At 44.5% G+C, this 23,591-nt stretch overlaps 1 protein-coding gene across 6 annotated transcripts, besides 2 other annotated features; it reads left to right on the forward strand.

The window, feature by feature from the left end:
• Positions 33-242: an enhancer, noted in NCBI's record as "active region_13926". NCBI's record gives its function as "activates an Ori minimal core promoter by ATAC-STARR-seq in GM12878 lymphoblastoid cells {active_cell/tissue: GM12878}" and the evidence as "EXISTENCE:reporter gene assay evidence [ECO:0000049][PMID:35858748]".
• Positions 220-23,236, forward strand: ZNF317 (zinc finger protein 317). Of its 6 annotated transcripts, XR_430146.5 has the most exons (8): positions 220-415; positions 15,748-15,864; positions 16,435-16,571; positions 17,091-17,217; positions 17,803-17,898; positions 18,649-18,731; positions 19,937-22,783; positions 22,878-23,236. XR_430146.5 is itself a non-coding variant. In NM_020933.5 (7 exons), the coding sequence occupies exons 2-7, from the start codon at positions 15,840-15,842 to the stop codon at positions 21,254-21,256; spliced, it is 1,788 nt and encodes a 595-aa protein (NP_065984.3). In that variant the 5' UTR covers positions 220-415; positions 15,748-15,839; the 3' UTR covers positions 21,257-23,236. The 6 variants fall into 6 exon arrangements, 3 of the variants coding, with proteins under 3 accessions (NP_065984.3, NP_001177720.1, XP_047295095.1); NR_102435.2 differs by having other exon boundaries at positions 17,657-17,898; positions 19,937-23,236; XR_007066921.1 differs by lacking the exon at positions 17,803-17,898.
• Positions 19,659-20,159: an enhancer, noted in NCBI's record as "H3K4me1 hESC enhancer chr19:9270512-9271012 (GRCh37/hg19 assembly coordinates)". NCBI's record gives its function as "activates a minimal SCP1, AML or CMV promoter by ChIP-STARR-seq in naive H9 embryonic stem cells {active_cell/tissue: H9 hESC(naive)}" and the evidence as "EXISTENCE:reporter gene assay evidence [ECO:0000049][PMID:30033119]".
• Positions 23,237-23,591: the final 355 nt, after the last annotated feature.

A 23,591-nucleotide genomic window follows, 5' to 3' on the forward strand; every position in this document is an offset into this window, starting at 1 on the left:
TTCAACCTTTACCACTACGATGGCTACAAAATGCTGTGGGTTGTGGTTGAAAATTTGAGTCTTGAGTAGAAATTGGAGAAATATGCTGGACCGTCAGATTCCACCGGGGCACGGCCGCCATGCCAATCCAAACTTCAAAACTACAATTCCCAGCATCCTCTCCGCCCCGCTTCCGTATTAGACGCCGCCAATGAAGTCCCGCGAGAATTGGAAGGCGGCAGTGAAGCGGAAGCCATTACTCTCTGGAGTCGATTGCCCCGAGACACATGGGCCAAGGAGGGGTCAGCGGCGAATTCTTTCGGCCTGTTGGGGACCCCTCGTGTCCCCACGCCAGACTGGACCTCCCGTATGAACTTCTCTTCGCATCGGCGGCGGCTTCCGTCACCTCCGCTCCCCCGATCCTATTCCCAGTCGTGTAAGCCCTGCTTTCCTTAACCCTTCTCCCCCTCAGTTCCAGGGGTCACGGGAGGCCTATCTGGCGGTGAGGACTAAGAGGGTACGAGGGTCGGGGGCTAAAGAGCTAGGCATCCAGACGAGGGGTGCGTTTAGATCTCGCGATCAGCGATATGAAAAGCTGGGGACGCGAAGGATAAAATTGGACCATTGCAGCTAGTGATGAGAGAAGCATTGGTCACCTGATCCTGAAAAGCCCTAAGTCTCTGGTGGGGGCGGAAAAGCCCGGCTGAAGTGAATTCAAGAGTTTGGGGGCAGTTCAGGAGATTGGGGGGCGTCAGGATTTGGACATCGCGAGGAGAAATCACCTTCTTTCTGCGCTGTAGTCAATTTTATCTCGTGAATGTCAGCACATTGGTGTTCTTATTAGCACTTACCTTGAGTACCTTTTATATTTTTAATTTAAGACCTTCTGGTTGCACTTTTTTATTTATTTTAATTTTAGTGGACTCTTGTAAATAGCCTATATGTATATTTACTATTCAGTTCAACATTTTGTTAATTAACTTGAGTTAGTCCAGTTATACTTATCGTGATTATTAATATTTTCCATTGAATTTTACCGTCTTATTTTGTGGTGTGTCCTTTCCTATGCACATATTTTAACACTGGAAAATAGGACATACATGCAAAAAAAGTATGATTACACACACACGCAGACTTACACACACTTAAAAGGACAACAGTAAAGCGAATTTACAAACCAGGCCAAGAAAGAGATTATTAAATCTCAGAAAGCTGTGTGCCTCTTCTAAACTGCATCCTCCTCTCCCACCAATACTGTCTCCGTGGATTTGACTGCGTATACATCTTTTCCAGAAAATATATTTCCTAAATTTTGGTAATTATTTGTGAATGAACTCAGGCGCTTCAGTATTTTTGGAAACAATCTTTTTCTGTATTGATTCAAGCACACCTTTGTAATTTAGAGATTTCTAAATATCTTGTAGATGAAGTACTTACACCTAGCCATTCTTTTTCAGGAATGTCATGGCTTAAATTCTAGTCAGTTCACCAAATTCCACATACTGGACTTTTGTTTTCAAGTTGTGGTGAATCTATATTTGAACTTTGGGAATATTGTCGTTTTTATGCCATTGAGTTGCAGTTAATTGATTTACATCATTTATTTACATCTTCTTTAATGCCTTTCAATAAAGTGTTTTTTGTTGTTGTTGTTGTTTTTTCCTTTTTGAGATGGAGTCTCACCCTTGTAGCCCAGACTGGAGTGCAATGACAATCTCGGCTCACTGCAACCTCTGTCTCCCTGGTTCAAGCGGTTCTCCTGCCTCAGCCTCCCGAGTAGCTGGGAATACAGGCACCCACCACCACACCCAGCTAAATTTTGTATTTTTAGTGGAGATGGGGTTTCAACATGTTGGCCAGGCTGGTCTCGATCTCCTGACCTCAGGTGATCCACCGGCCTTGGCCTCCCAAAGTGCTGGGATTGCAGGAGAGAGCCACGATGTCCGGCTCAGTAAAGTTTTATAAGTACCTGCAAAAAGGATTTAGGTTGTTTTTGTTATATTTATTCTTGGGAACTTTGTTTTTTGGTGCTCAGAAAAGTCTAACTTTTGTGTAGTTTGTTGGATGTTCTTCGTAGACAAGGAAAATGTGTACAATTCAAAAGGAAAATACAAATATTTATTTTATACAGACGATAAATTGTCTTTTTTGTTTGTTTGTTTGTTTGTTTGTTTTTTGTGCTGGACTGGGTGGGGACTTCCCTTGTCATTGACTGGAGTTTGGATGGCACACTCTAGGCAAGCCTGTTTGTTTTCTGATCTTAAAGGGAATTGTCATTTGTGTCTGCCGAAGGCTTTTCTGTCGAATAGTTTTTATTAGGTCAAGGAAGCTCCCCTCTTTTCCTACTTGAGTTTTTCTTGTGAATTGCTGCAGGCTTTTAACAAGTGATTTTTTTTTTTTTTTTGCCATTATGTATCTGTTTATTGATACATTTTGTATCTGTTTGATACAAAATCTATATTGATAGTTTTGTATCTGTTTATTGATACATTTCTAGTACCTTAAATTATGGCACTCAGTACTGCTGTGTAACAAATTAATGAGTGAATAATATAATTTTTTTTCTATCCTGTAGTGTGGCAAATTAAACCAATTGATTTTCTCTTGTTACATTGAATTTGTATTGGTAAATAATTTGGAAAGGACATGTTACTATTTGTTACTTTTGGCTTCGGTTTGCTAATACTTTGTTTGGTGTTTTTGGATCTATGCTTGAGTGAAATGTTCCTTTTCTGTTTCAGATTTATGCCAGCCTCATAAAATGGGATGAGAAGTGTTCTGTTTTCTAAACTCTGGAATGTTTTGCATAAGAATAGAATATTTTGTTCCTTAGAACGGGAGTGGTACCTGGAAAAACCATTTGGGTCTGGAGTTTTCTTTGTGGAAAGTTTTAAAGCTATTGTTTCTGTTCTTTTAAGGTTTGTGGGGCATTCAGGTTTTCTGTGTTGTTATGATGAGTAAAATTTCTTTAGGAATTTATTTATTCCATCTGAGGTTTAAATCGTATAGTCAGGGTTGTTCATAACATACTCAAATTTTTAATGCTTGCTGCATTTGTAATGTTATCCACTTTTTTATTTATAATAATTATATGTTGCTTTTTACAAAAATAAATTCCATCAGAATGTTGTCAGTTTTCTTCTTAAAGAACTTCTGGCTTGATTGAACCACTTTATGATATATATGTTTTCTATTTTATAACTTTCTGATTGTTATCATTTTCTTCCTTTTTGGGATGTTTCTTTCCAGTTTCTTATGTTGAATGCCTGTCACATCCCAAAGAATTGCAGTATCATACTTTATTGTATTTTAATTATAAATATCAAATATCATGGCTTCTTTGGCATGCAGATTTAGAATTTTTTTCTTTTAATTTTCATTTCTGTGACTTTTTTTCTGGTTATCTTTTGGTCATTGTTTGCCAACTGCATTGCTCTGTGGTCAAGCATTTTCTGAGACAAACATGGCCCCATGAGTGCTGTCTCATCATGTTCAATCTGCACATAGTTATTGAACTGCCTGCTTAAACTGGATTTGTGAGAGCTCTGGTGGTGGCTTCATCCATTTCTCCTTAGAATTCTGTCCCCCCTTTTTTTTTTTTAATTTTTGTGTTTTCCTTTTTTTTGAGGCTGTGTTTTATACACACAGGCACACACACACACCTCTTTTTGGATTTATAACTTTTTATTATGTAATACTTCATTTTTCTCTATGAGCCTTTTTGCCTTAATCTATTCTGTCTGATACTAACATTCAAACCAGCTTTCTTTTTTTTTTTTTTTACTTGCCTTATATATCCTTTTATTTCCATTCTTATTGTACTCTTTTTTCTTTCTTTCTTTCTTTCTTTCTTTCTTTTTTTTGAGACGGAGTTTCACTCTTTTTGCCCAGGCTGGAGTGCAATGGCGCGATCTTGGCTCACTGCAACCTCCACCTCCTGGAATCAAGTGATTCTCCTGTCTCAGCCTCCCAAGTAGCTGGAAGTACAGGCGCATGGCACCACACCCAGCTAATTTTTTTATTTTCAGTAGAGATGGGGTTTCATCATATTGGTCAGGCTGGTCTCGAACTCCCAACCTCAGGTGATCCACCTGCCTTGGCCTCCCAAAGCATTGGGATTACAGGCATGAGCCACCGCGCCCGGCTCTTATTGTATTCTTATATTTTAGATATCTCTTGTACGTAGCATATAATTGGATTAATCTATTCTGTGAATATTAGTATTTTAGTTAAAGCATTTATTCTGTTAGCATCTTCTGTATTAATATATTTGAATGTTACATTTGTCTTCTGTTTTTTCTCTAGCTTCTTTTGTGTATTTTTGTCATTCTCCTTTTTTATTTTCTGTACATTTTGAATTTATTTACTCTATTATTTCAGTGGTTGTTCTAAATAATTCTTACCCATGCTCATTCACTAAATCTAGATTTGCATATGTTACTCTCCTGATTTACATGGTTTTCTTATGCATTTTCATTCTTTCTTTATTGATATATCATAGTTGCACATATTGAGTTCTTTTTTTAAACCTCAGAAGAAATTATTATTGCTATTGCATACCATCATTTCTTGTTTCATTATACTCACATGTTTATCACTTTGAGCACTTTACTTGGTTCTTACACTTTTTGGTGTAATTCTTCCACTGTTTGCTTTGGTTCTTTAATTACTTCTTTCTCCCTGAGGTATGTCTTTGATGATGTCTCTTTTCTGTGGGTTGCAAGCCCACAGGAACTTTGTTTTTTGGTGCTCAGAAAACACCTCTTTCTCTCTTTCTCAGTGGACATTTTTGGTGGTAATAGAATTTTATATTTCAGAACTATGAAGATGTTCCATTATCTTCTGGCTTCCACTGTTAATGATGAGAAGTCAGCTGTCAGTCTAATGTTTGTTTGTTTGTTTTCTGAGACAGAGTCTCACTCTTGTTGCCCAGGCTGGAGTGCAATGGCGTAATCTCGTCTCACTGCAACTTCTGCCTCCTGGGTTCCAGCAATTCTCCTGCCTCAGCCTACTGAGTCGCTGGGATTACAGGCATGGGCCATGACACCCAGCTAATTTTTGTATTTTTAGTAAAGACAAGGTTTCACCATGTTGGCCAGGCAGCGGTTTTAGGAGCCTAGAAATGTGAGTTTTTCGTTTTGTTTTGTTTTGAGACAGGGTCTTGGTATGTTGCCCAGGCTGGTCTCGAACTCCTGCGTGCAAGTGATCCACCTGCCTTGGCCTCCCAGCATGCTGGGATTACAGGTGTGGGCCACCATGCCCAGGCTTACTTTGTTTCTTAATGGAGAGATATTTACGGTGTGTTTTAACAAGACCTCCAGGTGACTCCCATGTAACTTAAAGTTTGAGAACTATTGCTTAAAAGGTAACCTGTCTTTTTCTCCTCTGGCTGCTGTTCAGATATTCTTTTTACCGTTGGTATTATCTGGTTCATTGTGCTTAAGATTTTATCTCTCTTCAATCTGTTTATATTTTCCTTCAAAATGAAAAATCTACAGCCACTATATTTTGCAGTGATTGCCTAGGCTCCTTCTCTGTCTCTCATCAGTAACTCCAGTTAGAAATGGTTCAATTCCTTATCTTCTGCCCCCACGTGGTTCTTAGCTGTATTTATGTTCCTCAACTCTTTTTCTGTGCTTCCCTTGCATTTATTGCTACAACTGGCTTTGAAACTTCAGCCTTCATAAAAATTTCATGTAGAGTTTATTAAAATACTGATTCATCAGCCCACCCCAAAGAGAATTGAACTGAGATATGATCTGGGTGTCAGAGTTACTTAAAGTGTTCCAGGGGACGCTTATGCAGCAGACTATATTTAAGAAACAAATTATTATTATTATTATTATTATTGGCTGTGTATAATCTAAAAGCTATTTACTTAGGGCTTTTGTTGTGGGTTTCCATTTTGCTTTTTTTTTAGCAATTGTAATTGCCCTTTAGAAATCATAAATTTTTAATTTTCTGAATGTTAATTTCTTGCCAGCACATGAATTTGAAACCTATCATCTGTCTGTACTTTGTGTTGCATTTGAAATAGTTATGCATGGAAGGTTTAATTGGGGCACCTAGGTTGCTTGTTGGAAACAGAATTCCTACCCTGCTCCCCACCCCCTGGGACATCTCATCTAGCTGGTTGAAAGGAGGGTATATTGATTTACTAATGTAATGCATTTCTGGACCAAGAAAATGGCATATGATGTTCTCACAACCTTTGTTGCCTTCTCTGTCTCTCGCTATATATATATTGTATATATTATTTATATACTTTTTTTCTTTTTTTTTTTTTTGAGGCAGTGTCTCATTTCTGTCACCCAGGCTGGAAGTGCAGTGGCATGATCTTGGCTTACTGCAACCTCCGCCTCTCAGGTTCAAGCAATCTTCCCACCTCAGCCTCCCAAGTAACTGGGACTACAGGCATGTGCCACCATGCCTGGCTAATTTTTTTGTATTTTTAGTAGAAACGGGGTTTCACCATGTTGGCCAGGCCAGTCTTGAACTCCTGACTTCAAATGATCTGCCCGCCTCAGCCTCCCAAAGTGCTGAGATTACAGGCATGAGCCACCATGCTGGGCCTATATTTACGTGAATAACAGTGGTAGAAATGGTTCTAGCAAGGGCAGAAATACCAGTCAGTAAAAGTAACAAAATAATTATTCTCTCTACAGTATTTACATCTGCAAATTCTGAATATCCTGGGATACTGTGATTAAGTTGAATATGGGGATAAAATCAAATATTGGGAGAATTATGGTCCTGAGAAAGCTCATAATGGAACAGTTTTGGGCAACATTTGTTTTGGACCACAAACTTGATGGAGGAGGCAGATCTTCTAAAACTGAGGAGCAGGGCTGGAGCAAGGGTGAGGTTTGTGAGTGCAGAGCCAGGGAGCCACTCGCTCTGAGCCAACCTTGTGCTTGTCTGACACCAGAAGTGCTTCCTTAAATACCACACTCTTGTCTAGCAGCCTTGGTTGCCTCATCCCAGTCCTGGCCCTGGTGAGGAGAAAAACAGATCCCAATGAGAATAGAGTAAGATGTGTAGAAATAGAAAAATAGAACTGCTTTCACCATGCTGTAAAGAAAATTAAAAGAGAAATTAAGCAACCCCAACAGCTCTGAAAAATTAACCTGTCCGTTCTAACTCATCCATGGTGACAGCATTCCAATGACACTGGTTTTTTTTTTTTTTTTTTTTTTTTTTTGAGATGGAGTCTCGCTCTGTCGCCCAGGCTGGAGTGCAGTGGCACAGTCTCAGCTCACTGCAAGCTCTGCCTCCTGGGTTTCACACCATTCTCCTGCCTCAGCCTCCTGAGTAGCTGGGACTACAGGCGCCCGCCACCGCGCCCGGCTAATTTTTTGTATTTTTAGTAGAGATGGGGTTTCACCATTCACAGGATGGTCTCAATCTCCTGACCTCATGATCCGCCTGCCTCAGCCTCCCAAAGTGCTGGGATTACAGGCGTGAGCCACCACGCCCGGCTGATCCTGGTTTTGTTTCATGTATCATGTAGAAACGGGGCAGAACGTCTCTGAGTTCATAGATCCTACAGCTGTTCTAGACACCCTGCTCCACATCCTGCTGGGGTCGCTTAGATGCTGAAATCTTCCTGCTTTATTTGTATTCATGGCCACCAGTTCTTTGAGACTCTCTGATACAGTTTGGATGTGTATCCGCCCCCTCCCCCCCTCCAAATCTCATATGGAAATGTAATTCCCAATATTGGAGGTGGGGCCTGGTGGGGGGCGATTGGATCAGGGGGGCAGATTTCTCATGAATGGCTTAGCACCATCCCCCTTGGCACTGTCCTCGTGATGGCGGGTGAGTTCTCCTGAGATCCGGTCATTTACACGTGTGTGGCACCTCCTCCCAACCCTGCTGTCTTGCTCCTGCTTCACCATATGCTTTGCCTGCTTCCCTTTTGCCTTCTGCTATGATTGGAAGCTTCCTGAGGCCTCCCCAGAAGCAGATAGCACTGTGCTTCCTGTAGAGCCTACAGAACTGTGAGCCAATTAAACCTCTTTTCTTATAAATTACCCAGTCTCAGGTATTTCTTTATAGCAGTGCGAGAATGGACTAATACACCATCACCCAGCACTGACAACCCCTGAAAGTGATAGAATCACTCAGGTGAGAACTTGGCCAGAAGCTCCACTCTGAGCTCTGGTTTGCATCGTTGCAAAACATCGACAAGGTTCCACAGACTGAATTGATGTGGGTGCGCTCTCTAAGCTCCAGCCCTCTGGACACTTTGTCCTTCATGGAGGGTGGTGGTGGATGTTGGCCCCAGGGTGTTGGGCTAAGCCATAGGGCTGTGTCCTAGTACCTGGATTACTGTTTAATTTCACAGGACCTTCTGAGGAGATCCCAGACCCCCTACATTCCATAGGCCCCTCCTTTATGGTCTCCCAAGGTCTGGGTGGCTGTCTCAGTATGAAGGCAAATGTAGATCAGCTTGCTCATCATCCATTCATTCTTTCATTCCCTACTTATTGTCTTATTTATATCAGGCACTGGAATGGTGAATGAAATATCATCAAAGTAAAAAGTCTCTACTCACCTGGAATGTATTTTCTAGTTGGGCATACAGGAAATCAAAACAAGTAAACTACATAGTGTGCATGGAGGAGACAGCAGAGAGATAATAATGCTTACCCGGTGTTCTGTGTCCTGTCCTACATTTCCCAGGATCCTTGGAGCTGGCAGGGGCATGTGACTAGTTCTGGCCAATGGGCTGCAAGTGCTTCAGGGTCAAAATATAGACGACAGAATGCATAGTTGTCCAGCTTCCTGCTCATCATCTATGACCAACATGGCCAAGGGTATCAGTTGGTTCAGAGACAAGTGGCATCCTTGAACAACAGGAAAACTTTTGACATCAGCCTGGGTTGAACAAGTGACATGAGCAAGGCGTAAACTTTCCATTTTATTGAGTCATTGAGATTTGGGTTTGTCTGTTTTTGCAGTAAAAAATAGAGCCTAATCTTACACAGAACATTACTTGGAAATTAGTGCTTTAGGGAAAAAGAAAAGGAGTGGAGAATTGGGATTGAAAGAAGCAGGGGTTTGCATTTTAAAAAGTGGCCAAGGCGGGTGGATCAGCTGAGGTCAGGAGCTCAGGACCAGCCTGGCCAACATGGTGAAACCCTGTCTCTACTAAAAGTACAAAAATTAGCCGGACACAGTGGCACACCTATAGTCCCAGCTACTTGGGAGCCTGAGGCGGGAGAATCACTTGAACCCGGGAGGCGCAGGTTGCAGTGAGCTGAGATCACACTACTGCACTCCAGCCTGGGTGACAGAGCGAGACTCCATCTCAAAAGAAAAGAAAAGAGTGGCCAGTGAATGCCAGATCAGGACAGGTAAAGTTGAATAAAGATCTGAAGGATGAGAGGGGGCCAGGCACACTGAGAATGTGGGGGAAACATTTCAAGCAGAGGAGCAGCAGGTGCACAGACCCTGAGGTGGGAGCATGGCTGGCGGGGCCTGATGCACAGCAGTGAGGCTTCTGTGGCTTGGGTGAGGGACCAGTGGCAGAGCGAGTTGTGGGTGAGGCGGCAGGGACCTGGGCCCTTGGTCTGAGTGAGATGGGACACCATCAGAGGATCTTGAACAGAGGAGCGGTGTGATCTTCATTTTACCCATAAAGTTACGGCTGTCATGGAAGCTAAGGGAAGTCAGGGACAGCAGCTGGGAGACCAGTTAGGAAGCAGTTGGAATGTTCTAGAAGAGAAGCGATGCCTTATGCCAAGGCAGTAGCAGTGTAGGTGGTGAGAAGCAACCAGATTTTTGTATTAAGTTTTAAAGTTAAGGCTGGCAGGATTTGCTGGTGATGCAGGTGTGGTTTATGGAAAAGAAAGAGGAGAGTTGAAGGTGATGACGAGCAAGGCTTTTGACTTGAGCCCCTGGGAGGCTGGAGCTGCCATCAACGTGGGGAGGCTGGTGGCAGCACAGTTGTAGGTGTTTAATGTGGGATCCTGTTGGCTGTTGCAGTAGGGATACTAAGTAGCCACCTGGCTGCCACTCACTCTGAGTCATTCTGGGTGGGGCAGGTGCCAGGGAGCGGAGAGTGGCACCCACTATAAATGAACAATTCTGTTAAGTAATTGTGAAATCGTCAGTGGTCATTTTATTTTAATGATAATGGCATTTTAGAGTGAATGTTTGTTTACTGAGCCTATAGAGTTCCATACATAACCCAGTGTTAAAGTCTTCAGTTTCCAGATGAGAAAACTGAGTTTTGATGAACTGACTCTTGGGAGGGGAATGAGCAGAACTGTGGGCTTGCATTAAAGGGGAGTCTACTGAGGCCTCAGGGACAGGGAGACCTTCACAGAAGTGCAATCAGAACCTGGGTGTCAGCACCTCCAAATGGTGGGGGTGTTTCACAATGTGGACCTGTGGGAGATGGGGGAGAGGGGCCCAGGGGAACCCTGACCTTTAGGGGCTGGGCAGAGGAGGGATCTCAAGCCAGAGTCTTCAAAAGAGCAACCAGAGATGTGAGCACAGACTGGGATGAGTGGGCTATGGCTGCAAGAGCAGTGGCATTCCCAGGAAGAGGGAGATAGATTCATAGTGAGCAAGATGATGTGTCAGGAGGTCAGGCAAAGGAAGGGTCAAGATGTAGTGTCAAGGAGTTCCCACATAGGGGACAGTACAGGTGACATAGGTCACTTTGAGAGGCAACAAGATGTGGCTCCGCAGTCACGTCAGCTGGGCTCACAACTTCCACCTATGACCTTGACCAAGTGTCTCGGACCCTTGGTGCCTTATTCTCTGGGTACTTGAGAATAATTCCGGGAGGTTGTGAGGATTAAATAGGAGTGGCCCTGGAAAGACTCAGGAGAATGTCTCATACCTTGTAAACACTACACATGTCGTTATTTGTAGAATTGGCATTAATGTTGGTGGGGAAAGGTGGAATGGGACCTGCAGAAGCTTGTTAGTTGAGCATGAATGAATGAATGGTAGGTGAGGATGGAGATACTGTGCCTCAGGAACTGAGCCTCTGTCACCCTCTCTCCCCTTCCTCAGCAGTGACTTAATGTCAGAACCCAAAGGCACAATGACTAGAAAAGGGCTTTGTAAAAAGAATGAAAGCGTCATGCATCTTTGAGTTGGCCCAAGATCAAATTTGGTGTTGAATAATGAATCCCCAAGGCAGAGTTTATACGTTAAAACACACTTCCTATATTATTGTTTTGAAATGTTTCTGAATATCTAAAACAATTCCAATAGCAGAAATACTAATTGATGTTGAAAAAGATTGTTATAACCCTGGTAATGTTTAAAAGTGGTAATATTGATTATTGATCTGAGTCAGATGTTAAAGTAGCAGCGTCACGGTTCTTACATCAGTGCTGTCATGAGAGTCGCGGTGGAAGCCAGAGAGAGGAGGCATGTTCATACAAAGCAAATTAAATCCCCTCCCGAGGTGTGGGCCACCATACCTCACCAATGTATTGTGGTTTTGATGTTATTTCCTTAATGACTGATGTTGTTAATCATCTTTTCATGTGTTTACAGTTCATTTCTGTAAATTTGGAGAAATGTCTGTTCTGTTCAAGTCTCCTGCCCACTTTTTTACTGGGTTGTCTTTGTTGTTGAGTTTATAATGATATTAAATCCCTATCACATACATGATTTGCAAATATTTTCCACCATTCTGTGTCTCATTCACTTTCTTGATAATGTCCTTGATGTTAATTCTAAATGTTTGGTAGGGTTCACCAGTGAAGCCCCTTGGTCCTGGACTTTTTTTTTTTTTTTTTGAGACGGAGTCTTGCTCTGTCGCCCAGGCTGGAGTGCAGTGGCGCAATCTCGGCTCACTGCAAGCTCCGCCTCCCAGGTTCACACCATTCTCCTGCCTCAGCCTCCCGAGTAGCTGGGACTACAGGCACTCATCACCACGCCTGGCTAATTTTTTGTATTTTTAGTAGAGATGGGGTTTTACCGTGTTAGCCAGGATGGTCTCGATCTCCTGACCTCCTGATCCACCCGCCTCGGCCTCCCAAAATGCTGGGATTACAGGCGTGAGCCACCGTGCCCAGCTGGTCCTGGACTTTTTATTTAATGGCTTTTGATGACTGCCTCAGTCTCTTGTTATAGGTCTCTCAATTTTCTTTTTCTTCTAGAGCCTGTTTGGGTATGTTTCAAGGAATTTGATACATCTAGAGCATTGATCCCCAAGCCCTGGGCCACAGACAGGTACCGGTCCCTGGCCTTTTAGGAACAAGGCCCTGCCGCAGGAGGTGAGCGGAGGGCAAGTGAGTGAAGCTTCATCTGTATTTACAGCGGCTCCCCATCACTCACATTACCCCTGAACTCCACCTCCTGTCAGATCATCAGCAGCATTAGATTCTCATAGGGGCGCAGACCCTATTGTGCACTGCACATGCAAGGGATCTAGATTGCACACTCCTTATGAAAATCTAATGCCTGATGATCTGTCAGTGTCTCCCATCACCTCCAGATGGGACCATCTAGTTTCAGGAAAACACTCTCAGGGCTTCCACTAATTCTATATTATGGTGAGTTGTATAATTATTTTACCATATATTACAATGTAATAATAATAGAAATAAAGTGCACAATAAATGTAATGCACTCAAGTCATCCCAAAACCATCCCCCCTCACCTCACCATCCATGGAAAAATTGTCTTCCATGACACCAGTCTCTGATGCCAAATTGGGTGGGGACTGCTAGTGTAGATGATCTAATGTGTTGGTGCATAATTGTTCATGGCATTCTCTTACAGCCCTTTGAATTTCCGTAAGGTCGGTAGTAATGTCCCACTTCCACTGATGATTTTAGTTACTTGCATCTTTTTTTGTTAGTAATTCTAGCTGTAGTTTTGTCACCTTTGTTGATCTTTTTGAAAGAACCAACTTTTGTTTTCATTAATTCTCCTATTCTCTATTTCATTTGTCTCTGCTTTAATCTTTATTTCTTCACTTTTGCTTTCCCTAGGTTTAGTGTGTCAAGGTAGTTGTTTTTGTTTGTTTGTTTGTTTGTTTGTTTGTTTGAGACTGAGTCTCGCTCTCTCACCCAGGCTAGAGTGTGATGGCACGATCTCAGCTTACCTCAACCTCCGCCTCCCGGGTTCAAGCGATTCTCCTGCCTCAGCCTCCCGAGTAGCTGGGATTACAGGCATGCACCACCATGCCCAGCTAATTCTTTGTATTTTTAGTAGAGACGGGGTTTCTCCATGTTGGTCAGGCTGGTCTCGAACTCTCGACCTCAGGTGATCCACCCACCTTGGTCTCCCAAAGTGCTGGGATTACAGGTGGGAGCCACTGCACCTGGCTGGAACTGGTTTTTGTATGAGATGTCTTACTGGTGGCTTTTCCTAGGCAAAGGGAATAAGATCTCGAGTTCCTACTGGAACCTAAGTGTTAGAGATGGGGATTCAGGTTAAATGAGTGGATGTGATTACCTGGGCAAAGCATGAGGCATGCGAAGGAATGGGTAAAGAATGGCTCTTGAGCAGAATCAGCCTTTAGTGGTGAAAGAGGACCTCTGGATGGTCCAGATGATCCAGAGAAGCAGGGAAAGAACCAGGAGACAGTTGTAGAGGAGCCGAGAATAGAGAATGATTCTCAAAGAAAATAGACACCACATTTTCGTGAGACTCTAAGACTGAAGTGCATTTACTGGATTCACTGACACGGGAGTAAATTGTATTTTCTGTGAGGATGGGGATGATGGTAGTGGATGCTGGGTGTACTGAATTGGGAGATGGTGAATGTAGACTGCTCCTAAGTTTTTGCTCGGAAGGGGGCACTAAGGGGAGCCAGGGCAGGCATTGGTTTCAAGATGGGATAGACCTGAGCATGTGTCCATGCATAGGAAATTGTCTAGCAGGGCGAGAAATGAGGCTGAAAGTAAAGGAGAGCCAGGTAGTGCGAGGGTCCAGAGACGGGGATGGGCCTGGAGCAGATTTGAAAGGATTGCCTTGAGAAGGGAGGGCAGACATCTCTTTGTCATAGAAGGAAAGGAGGAGGTCATAGATCAGTTGTGAGAAGACTGTTTAAATAACTAGAAGCAAGAAGGTAAGAAAGCCTCATTTTTTTTCTTTCTTTTAAGCAGGGTTTAATATATGTTCAAGAAAATGCATAGGTCTTACTTAGGTGATCAGTTTGAATTTTTGACAATTGTGTACACTGTACATCTGAAAATAGGTAAGTTTCTATCATCCTAGAAAGTTCCCTTTGCTTCTTTCAGTCTATCCCTGTCTTATCCTCCATTGAAGAAACCCCCTTTTTTTTTTCAATTCTATCAACTTAATTACGTTTTGCCTATTCATGGACATTATATTGTTGGAATCAGAGCGTTTCTTGTGTGTCCAGTTTCTTTTGGCCAGCATCGTAGGGATTTCTCCATGTAGTGTGTCTGCATAGTTTCTTTTTATTGCTGAGTAGTATTCCATTCTGTAAACATTGCAATTTGTATATCCATTCTCTGGTTGATAGATGTTTAGATTGTTTACAGTATTTGGCTATTAGGAATCAGACTACTACAGACATTTTTGTACGAGTCTTTGTGGATATAAATTGTTTACAGTTTCTCTTATATAAATATCTAGGAGCAGAATTGTTGGATCAGATAGTCAGTGTGCTTGTTAAAAACTGCCAAAGTGTTTTCCAAAGTAGTTGAACTATTTCACACTCCTACCATCAGGATATGAGAGGTGCCAGTGTGCCCCAAACTCAGCAGCATTTAGTATTGGTAGTCTTTTTTATTTTGGCTGTTCTAGTTTTAATTTGCATTTCTCTAATGACTATGATATTCAACACCATTCGATGTGATTCTTACTGGTTTTGTGAAATGTCTGTTTATTAATTAAAGTCTTTTACCCTTTTTGTTGGGTTGATTTTCTTTCTTTCTTTCTGTTTTGAAGGAGTTCTTTTTATTTTTTCCAATAAGCCTTTTGCACTCCTATCTAGGAGTTCTTTAATCTGAATACGAATTCTTTTTCAGGTGTATGCATTGCAGATATTTTTTTCCCAATCCGTGGTTCACTGTTCATTTTCCTTTTTTCTTTTTCTTTTTTTGTTTTTAGAGACAGAATCTTACTCTATTGCCCAGGCTGGAGTGCATGATGGTAGCTCACTGCAGCTGTTCTCTATGAATTTTTAAGTTTCTGATTCATCTCAAAAGATGTTTAAATTCAAATTCAGTGAGTGGAGGAGGTGGCAGAAGCATAGGTGGCCGCGAATCTCTAAAGTGAGAGTTGATGTGAGAAGGTTGCACAGGAGACTTTGCCCAGAGAGCAGATTTCCAAATCATTGCCTGTGAGGTGAGGCTGATTCTAGTGATGATGCAGTCCAGGCCATGGCCCAAGGGTGTATATGTTGGTGTGGAGTGTGGGTGCAAAGGGCATTGGAGTTTGGAACTCATGGTTGATCCTGGGTGGACCATCTTCATGGATAGAGCCATCCTAAATGATCGCAGGCCTCGAAGGTGAAGGAAGAGCAGAAGTCTAGGACCAGAGTGTTTAATGAGTGAGGGGGTTTAACAGAGTTGTACTTGGTGGAAAATCACTTAGGAAGAGTAATTCTGAACCCACTTATAGCAGATCAGGGGCTGTCCCCCCACCACATCACCACATTGCTGAGAGAGTTTACCTAAGTAAGATAAAAGTCCAGGATCAGGCAGATCTTGCTGCTCAAAAGAGGAAATGCCAAAAAACAAAACTCAGAGTTTTCTTTGGTGAGCAGGAGAGACAGATAGCCTTTCACTACTCCCGATGTTCTTTCATTTGCTACAGATGCCAGCTTGGAGAGTCACGTGAGAGCAAGAGAGTAGCTTTCTGGTTGTCCTGGTGCCCTGCTCAGGCAAACTGACTGCCATTCTCTGAGGATGGCAGCTCTGTCCCCCACATTTGGTAAGTTCTTGGGTCAGTGCGTGCCCTGAGAAAGTGAGTGCAAGTGGCCCCTGCCACTTGATGGGGTGAAAGATACGTACACCATAGAGGGCTGCTGGGAGAGGATGGGCAAGTGGAAAAGGGGTGGGAACAGAGCCCCAGCAGCCACCCCAGTGACTGTGTCTGCTGAGGGTCTTGGTGGGTCTGGGAGCAGGCCAGTGTCCTTATCATTCATGCATGAAGAGGGTGCAGGTAATGGGTAACCCTGAGTTATCTCATTTATTATTTTGATCACTTTCAGCAAGGTCACAACTCTAGCTCTCAGAACTTGCATTTCTTCACTCCTAGGTTGGAACTATGTCACTTCTTATGAGTATGTAGCCCACCACCCTCTTTATGTTTTTGGTGGAACAGGGCTGCTCTGACTTGTTATGAAACTGATGTGTGCAAGAGAGGTGGGGGGAGGAAGAGAGAGAGAGGATTGAGGATGTGAACACTCAGAATCAGTGTGGAGCAGTTTCCTGGTTTACAAGTGTTGTATTATGAGACAGGGCAGGCTCTGATTCTCATGAACCCTGTTTTCTCCTCCAGCCACGTCCACCCAGGATTCCACCTGTCTCCAGGACTCAGAATTTCCTGTTTCTTCAAAAGACCATTCCTGTCCCCAGAATTTGGACCTGTTCGTGTGCAGTGGTCTGGAGCCTCACACACCCAGTGTTGGTTCCCAGGTGCACTAAGATCTCTGGGTCCCTAGAGCAGGAGAGGCACTTCCTGGAAGACCCCACCAGTGCATGCTGGAATTCTTGCAGAGCTTCATCTCAGCCAGTGGATGCCAGAACAGGGCCCAAGAGAGAGCCAAGGAATATTGGGGCTGTCCTGGTGTTGGGGAAGTTAGGGGAAGTGATTTATGTAGCATCTGTTTCCCTCATGCTTGCAAAATCTCAGGCCCTTGCTCAGCCCCAGAGACGGGGGGAAATAAAGGGCAAAGCTCTCGGAGTGGGCTAGAACTGGAGGGAGATTAGTCCCTTGTCAGGGTTGCATCTGAAGTGACGGCACAGGACAAGATGGCCTCAATGGGGAGAGAGGATGTCTGAGGACTGATGCCTGGAGGAAATGTTGAGCCCCGTAGCAGGCCATCTGGAAATCCTGTGTTGGGTCTCTCATGCCCGGTCTTCAACCTCAGCCATCTTACCATGAACATCGTTAGGCTGGTTCCTCGCTGACCCCAAGTTTGTGTGGCGTTCCAGGAATCGGTGACTTTCCAAGATGTCGCTGTGGACTTTACCGAGAAGGAGTGGCCCTTGCTGGATTCTTCTCAGAGAAAACTGTACAAAGATGTAATGCTGGAGAACTACAGCAACCTCACTTCACTGGGTAAGGCCAGTGCCATTTCTCCACTTATTCATCCATGAATTAGATGTTTTTGTTTGAGTATGTTCTGTGACCCAGGAACTATGCAGCGGTTCAGAACGCAGCTGTGAACAAGCAGCCCCAGCACCCATGCTTAATGGGGCCTCTCCTGGGTATCGAGGCCCATCTATTGCAGGGACCATGGTGGTTCTCCGGTGTGTGTCTGAGCTTGGCATGGGCTTCTGAAATACGAAATCCCCATTCTTTTGGAGGGTCAGTGTGTGGGTACTTGTGATCTTATTTCCTATTTCTTTTTTTTTTTTTTTTTTTTTATTTTTGGTGATGAAGGGTTCTCACTATGTTGCCCAGACTGATCTTGAACTCCTGGCTACAGGCACGAGCCACCATGCTTTGCCTGTGGTTTTGTTTTCTATCAGTCAAAAACTTTTACTGTGTTCCTTAGAAATTTTGGCACCACCATTTTGCTGCTCCTAAGTCAGACTTGTCCACCCTCAGAACACTGAAGACCCAAGTGTTGAGCCCAGGCTACTGGAAGGGGTTGTCCTCTGCATGGCCCTCCCTCAACCTGTGTCTTTCCCGTGAGTGTAGGGTATCAGGTCGGCAAACCCAGCCTCATCTCACACTTGGAGCAGGAGGAGGAGCCGAGGACAGAGGAGAGGGGCGCTCACCAGGGCGCTTGTGCAGGTGAGCGAGCCCCAGGCAAAGAGCGGTGCTGTGACTCTACCTCTATTCAGTGACTGGGGTGGAGGGAGGTAGGTTAGGGAGTGTCACCCAGGGAAATTGAGAGATGCTCCTTCCCTCTTTTTGCCCATCCATTCTCTGACAAATCTTTTGGTCCACACACTCCTTCATCTTTGACTTTCACATTCCCATTATTGGGCTCTTTGTCCCATTCTTTCATATTTGATGTTTCTGATCATCCGCTTTCTGTCATTATCAACATCATCTGAATTGCCTTAAATTTCTTTTTTCTTTTTTTTTTTTTTTTTTTTTTTTTTTTGACGGAGTCTCACTCTGTTGCCAGGCTGGAGTGCAGTGGCATGATCTCGGCTCACTGCAACCTCTGCCTCCCAAGTAGCTGGGACTACAGGCATGATGCCGCCATGCCTACCTAATTTTAGTATTATTAGTAGACATGGGTTTCACCATGTTGTCCAGGCTGGTCTCGAACACCTGACCTCAGGTGATCCACCCACCTCGGCCTCCCAGAGTGCTGGGATTACAGGCGTGAGCCACTGCACCAGGCCTGAATTGACTTAAATTTCTACCCCTGGCATTGCCAAATATCTCACATGACCAGATTTTTTAACAATTGCTTTTGCACCACTTTTCCTTACATAGCCTTAGGATCTGCCAAGAAATCCACCTGTCATTGTCACCATCATCCCACCATTTTCCTTTTCCAACAATTAATACTTTTCCAATTTGTTTCAGATTGGGAGACTCCATCTAAAACCAAGTGGTCACTTCTTATGGAAGATATTTTTGGGAAGGAAACGCCCAGTGGTGTGACGATGGTAAGATTTCCGTGGGATAATTCTGGATCTTCCTTCCACGTCTGAGGAGACTGGGGCAGCCTAGGTTAGAAAAGCAGTTCAACACCAGGGCAAGCAGCTTCCCTCAGAGGAGACTGTGTTTCAGAGACACTGGGTATTACCAAGATGGAGACAACCCTAAAGCTAACCTCAAGCTACTTTACCTAGAGTGTCTCTGAGTGAAGATTTTTATAGCTGTGTCTCAGATATTGAGTGTTGGGGCTCAATGCAGTTTTTGTTTTATTTTATATTTATGCTGTACACTTACTTATCAATTTAGTTTTGGTGGTGTTTATTTTTTGGGGGGCAGACAGTCTTGCTCTTGTTGCCCAGTGCAGTGGGCAACATCTTGGCTCACTGCAACCTCTGCCTCCCAGGCTCAAGCCATCCTCCCACCTCAGCCTCCTGAGCAGCTGGGACTATAGGCGTGTGCCACCACACTTGGCTGATTTTTCTATTTTTTGCAGAGACAGGATTTCACCATGTTGCCCAGGCTGGTCTTGAACTCCTGGAGATCCATCAGCCTCGGTCTCCCAAAGTGCTGGGATTATAGGCTTGAGCCACCATGCCCAGCCTCAATTCAGTGGTTTTTGTTTGTTTGTTTTTGTTGTTGTTTTTGTTTTTTGTTTTTTTTTTTGAGGCACAGTCTTGCTCTTGTCACCCAGGCTGGAGTGCAATGGCACGATCTCAGCTCACTGCAGCCTCCACCTTTCAGGCTCAAGTGATTCTCCTGTCCCACCCTCCCGAGTAGCTGGGATTACAGGTGTGCACCACCATGCCCAGCTAATTTTTGTATTTTTAGTAGAGACAGCGTTTCACCATGTTAGCCAGGCTGGTCTCGAACTCCTGACCTCAGGTGGTCCACCCGCCTTGGCCTTCCAGAGTGCTGGGATGACAGGCGTGAGCCACCTTGCCCAGCCTCAATTCAGTTTTAAGCAGTGAAGAAATGCTATATGCAAAAAGCTTTGAAAAAGTAACACATGTGGAGCCTTGTGGCCTGGCATTCACCTATTGTCCTTGATGGAGCTCAAATGGGGCAGGGACAGCACGTTTGCACGGCAGATGGTTACAGCTCTAGTCATAGTAATGTGCTTCTATCTGTTCATAGCAGTGTATGTGGGGATGACGCTTAGGGTTGCAATGAATATGAGAATTGCCTTTGTCAGCACTTACGTCTTAACCAACAGGAAAGAGCCGGTCTTGGAGAGAAGTCCACTGAATACGCTCACTTGTTCGAAGTCTTTGGCATGGACCCTCATCTCACTCAGCCAATGGGAAGGCACGCTGGCAAGAGGCCCTATCACCGCCGCGACTATGGGGTAGCGTTCAAGGGCAGGCCGCACCTCACTCAGCACATGAGCATGTACGACGGGAGAAAAATGCATGAATGTCATCAGTGCCAAAAAGCCTTCACCACGAGCGCGTCCCTCACACGGCACAGGAGAATCCACACCGGGGAGAAGCCTTACGAGTGCAGCGACTGCGGGAAAGCCTTCAACGACCCTTCAGCCCTTAGGAGCCACGCAAGAACTCACCTCAAAGAGAAGCCCTTTGACTGCAGTCAGTGTGGAAATGCATTCCGGACCCTCTCGGCCCTGAAAATCCACATGCGAGTTCACACTGGCGAGAGGCCTTACAAGTGTGATCAGTGCGGGAAGGCTTACGGCCGGAGCTGCCACCTCATCGCACACAAGAGAACGCACACCGGAGAGAGGCCCTACGAGTGTCACGACTGTGGGAAAGCTTTCCAGCACCCCTCCCACCTCAAAGAGCACGTGAGGAATCACACGGGGGAGAAGCCCTACGCGTGCACGCAGTGCGGCAAAGCCTTCCGCTGGAAGTCCAACTTTAATTTGCACAAGAAGAACCACATGGTGGAGAAGACCTACGAATGTAAAGAATGCGGGAAATCCTTTGGCGATCTCGTGTCCCGGAGGAAACACATGAGGATTCACATCGTCAAGAAACCCGTGGAATGTCGGCAGTGCGGGAAGACCTTCCGAAACCAGTCCATCCTTAAGACTCACATGAACTCTCACACTGGAGAGAAACCATACGGGTGCGATCTCTGCGGGAAAGCTTTCAGCGCGAGTTCAAACCTCACCGCACACAGGAAGATACACACGCAAGAGAGACGCTACGAATGCGCCGCCTGCGGGAAAGTCTTCGGTGACTATTTATCCCGGCGGAGGCACATGAGCGTTCACCTTGTAAAGAAACGAGTTGAGTGTAGGCAGTGTGGCAAGGCCTTCAGGAACCAGTCAACGCTGAAGACGCACATGCGAAGCCACACGGGGGAGAAACCGTACGAATGCGATCACTGTGGGAAGGCCTTCAGCATAGGCTCCAACCTGAATGTGCACAGGCGGATCCACACCGGGGAGAAGCCCTACGAATGCCTTGTCTGCGGGAAAGCCTTCAGCGACCACTCATCCCTCAGGAGCCACGTGAAAACTCACCGGGGAGAGAAGCTCTTTGTGTCATCCGTGTGGAAAAGGCTCCAGTGAGCGCGCCTGCTTTAGAGACACAGGATGATTCAGACCGGAAACAGACCTCGTGGGTGTAAGAGGAAGCCTCTGTGAGCTCGCACCTTACTGGGTGCAAAAGAATCCACGGAACTTGGGAGAAGTCCAGTTCCTGTAAAAACTGGGAAGACGAGGCGTTCTCATCCCATAGGAGGTTTGTGAGAACTCACGCCGGGGGTGAAAATGTACGTCTGTAGCATGGAGAAGCCTTCAGGGTACATTCAGCTCTTAACAAACACAGGAGGACTTAATGGCAGCTTGGCATTTAATGTCAAAATCCAAGCCGTGGCATTTAATGTCAAAATGACTTCAGACCACTTCTAGCCTTCTGGGCCCATGAGTAATAATGAGCACACTAGGGAGCATCTCTGTAAACACAGTGGCTGGGGAAACCCTTCCTAGTCTCACTTGATTCCTCATGACGGAAATCACACTAAAGAGAGAAATCAGTGAAGTAAGGAACGTGGAAGGTCATGAATGGGCCGCAAACCACGGCCAGCTGCTTGTCTTTGTATGGCTTGCCAGCTAACAATAGTGGTTCCATCTTTAAGGAAGAAGAATGTTTGATGGAGAAAATTTGTGGCCAATGAAGTCTGAAATACTTCCTGTCATCTGCCCCTTTCCAGAAAAACTTGGCCGACCCTTGGTCTACAGCACGGGTTCTCAGTCGGGCGACGATTTGGCTGTCTAGGCGTCATTTGGCAATGTCTAGAGACATTTTTGGTAGTTAGAATGGGGGGAAGATACTCCTGACTTGTAATAAGAAGACATCAGAGATGCTGCTAAGTCGGCTCCAGCACACAGGAGCCCCCCACAACGAAGAGTTAGTGCCCCCAAACGTCACTGTTGCTGAGGTTGAAAATAATCATGCAGTCATTCCTCAATTACTGCCTGCAGCAATTCCTCCATTTTTATGAATCTTGTGAGCACTTACGCTAGGAGAAATTTCTTTTACAAAACTTTTAAAATACAATTAGTGCTGATAATTCCTATGTGGAAATGATTCCAGCCATGGTCCCCTCACTTGAGCATGTGAATATTCTCACGGAGAGAAGCCCCAGCGAGATTTTCCGGTGAATACGGGATTGCACTTACTCTTTCATCACGGAAACAGACCCCCCGAGAGAAGCCCCAACGAGATTTTCCGGTGAATACGGGACTGCACGTACTCTCTCATCATGAAAACAGAGCCCCGTTCATAAATTTTTCATCTTTATTTTTAAGGTTATACTCCTCTAAATAACCCTTAAGCCTCATCAAGAAAGGTTTGTTTATAGTATTTTTACTATAGCTTCATCCTTGATAACGTCCTAATTTCCTTCTGGACAACCTCCTTGACCAATGGCATATTGAGATCTATGTGACATGAGGATATTTCTCAGTACCACTTTGTTACTGGTACCTGATGCACACGGATTGCGACCAGAGCATGATGCCTCCATCAAGTGGTAATATGTTTGCAGCCTGCTGTCCAGCCAAGAGTGACAGATACTTCTAGTGACTTCCCCGGTATCCACTCTCATCTTCTTCCAATATCAAGAGAATCCAGGTTCTGTCAGATTAGTAAGGTGTGCTAATCTAAATTTTAAAAAATCTCTTACAGGTTTTCTTGCAGCTGGTACCATCCATGTCTCACAGCCCTGGCCACTGACAGATCAGCAGATGTCACCACATGGGCTTCTGAGAAAGCTCTTGAATGGGGATCGTTCTTAAACATGAATTCCTCCCTGTATGTTTTGTTCTTTGCTTTACTTTTCACCTTGCAAAGAGATCCAGTACCTAGTATTGGAAGATCCACCTTAACGACCGTGCATATGAAAACCACAGTCTAAGGAAGTGACTGCAGAAAGCTCACAGCGACCCTGGCCTCCCCTGTGGCCTCTTTGAGTGTCTGCAGCAGCCCTGGACTTCCAGACTTCTATCACATGAGAAAAAATAAAACTGATTATTGGTTTAAGCTGCTATGGATATTTCATTGTTTTTCTTTTAAATTTATTTATTTTAAGATGGGGGTCTCCCTATGTTGCCTAGGCTAGATTCGAACTCCTGGGCTCAAACAATCTTCCTGCCTCAGTCTCCCAAGTAGCTGAGAATACAGGCATGTGCCACCACACCCAGCTTGTTTTTCTATTTCATTTGTTTATTGGTGGGAGGGGGTTTCTACACCCAGCTGGATGCTGCCTGGAGCCCATACACCTGGTCATTGGTCAGTTGTGTGGTTTTTTTTTGTTTTTTTTTTTTTGTTTGTTTGTTTTTTGAGACAGAGTCTTGCTCTGTCACCCAGGCTGGAGTGCAATGGCGCGATCTCGGCTCACTG

The sequence above is a fragment of the Homo sapiens genome, chromosome 19 (genome assembly GCF_000001405.40).
Source record: "Homo sapiens chromosome 19, GRCh38.p14 Primary Assembly".
NCBI lineage: Eukaryota > Metazoa > Chordata > Mammalia > Primates > Hominidae > Homo > Homo sapiens.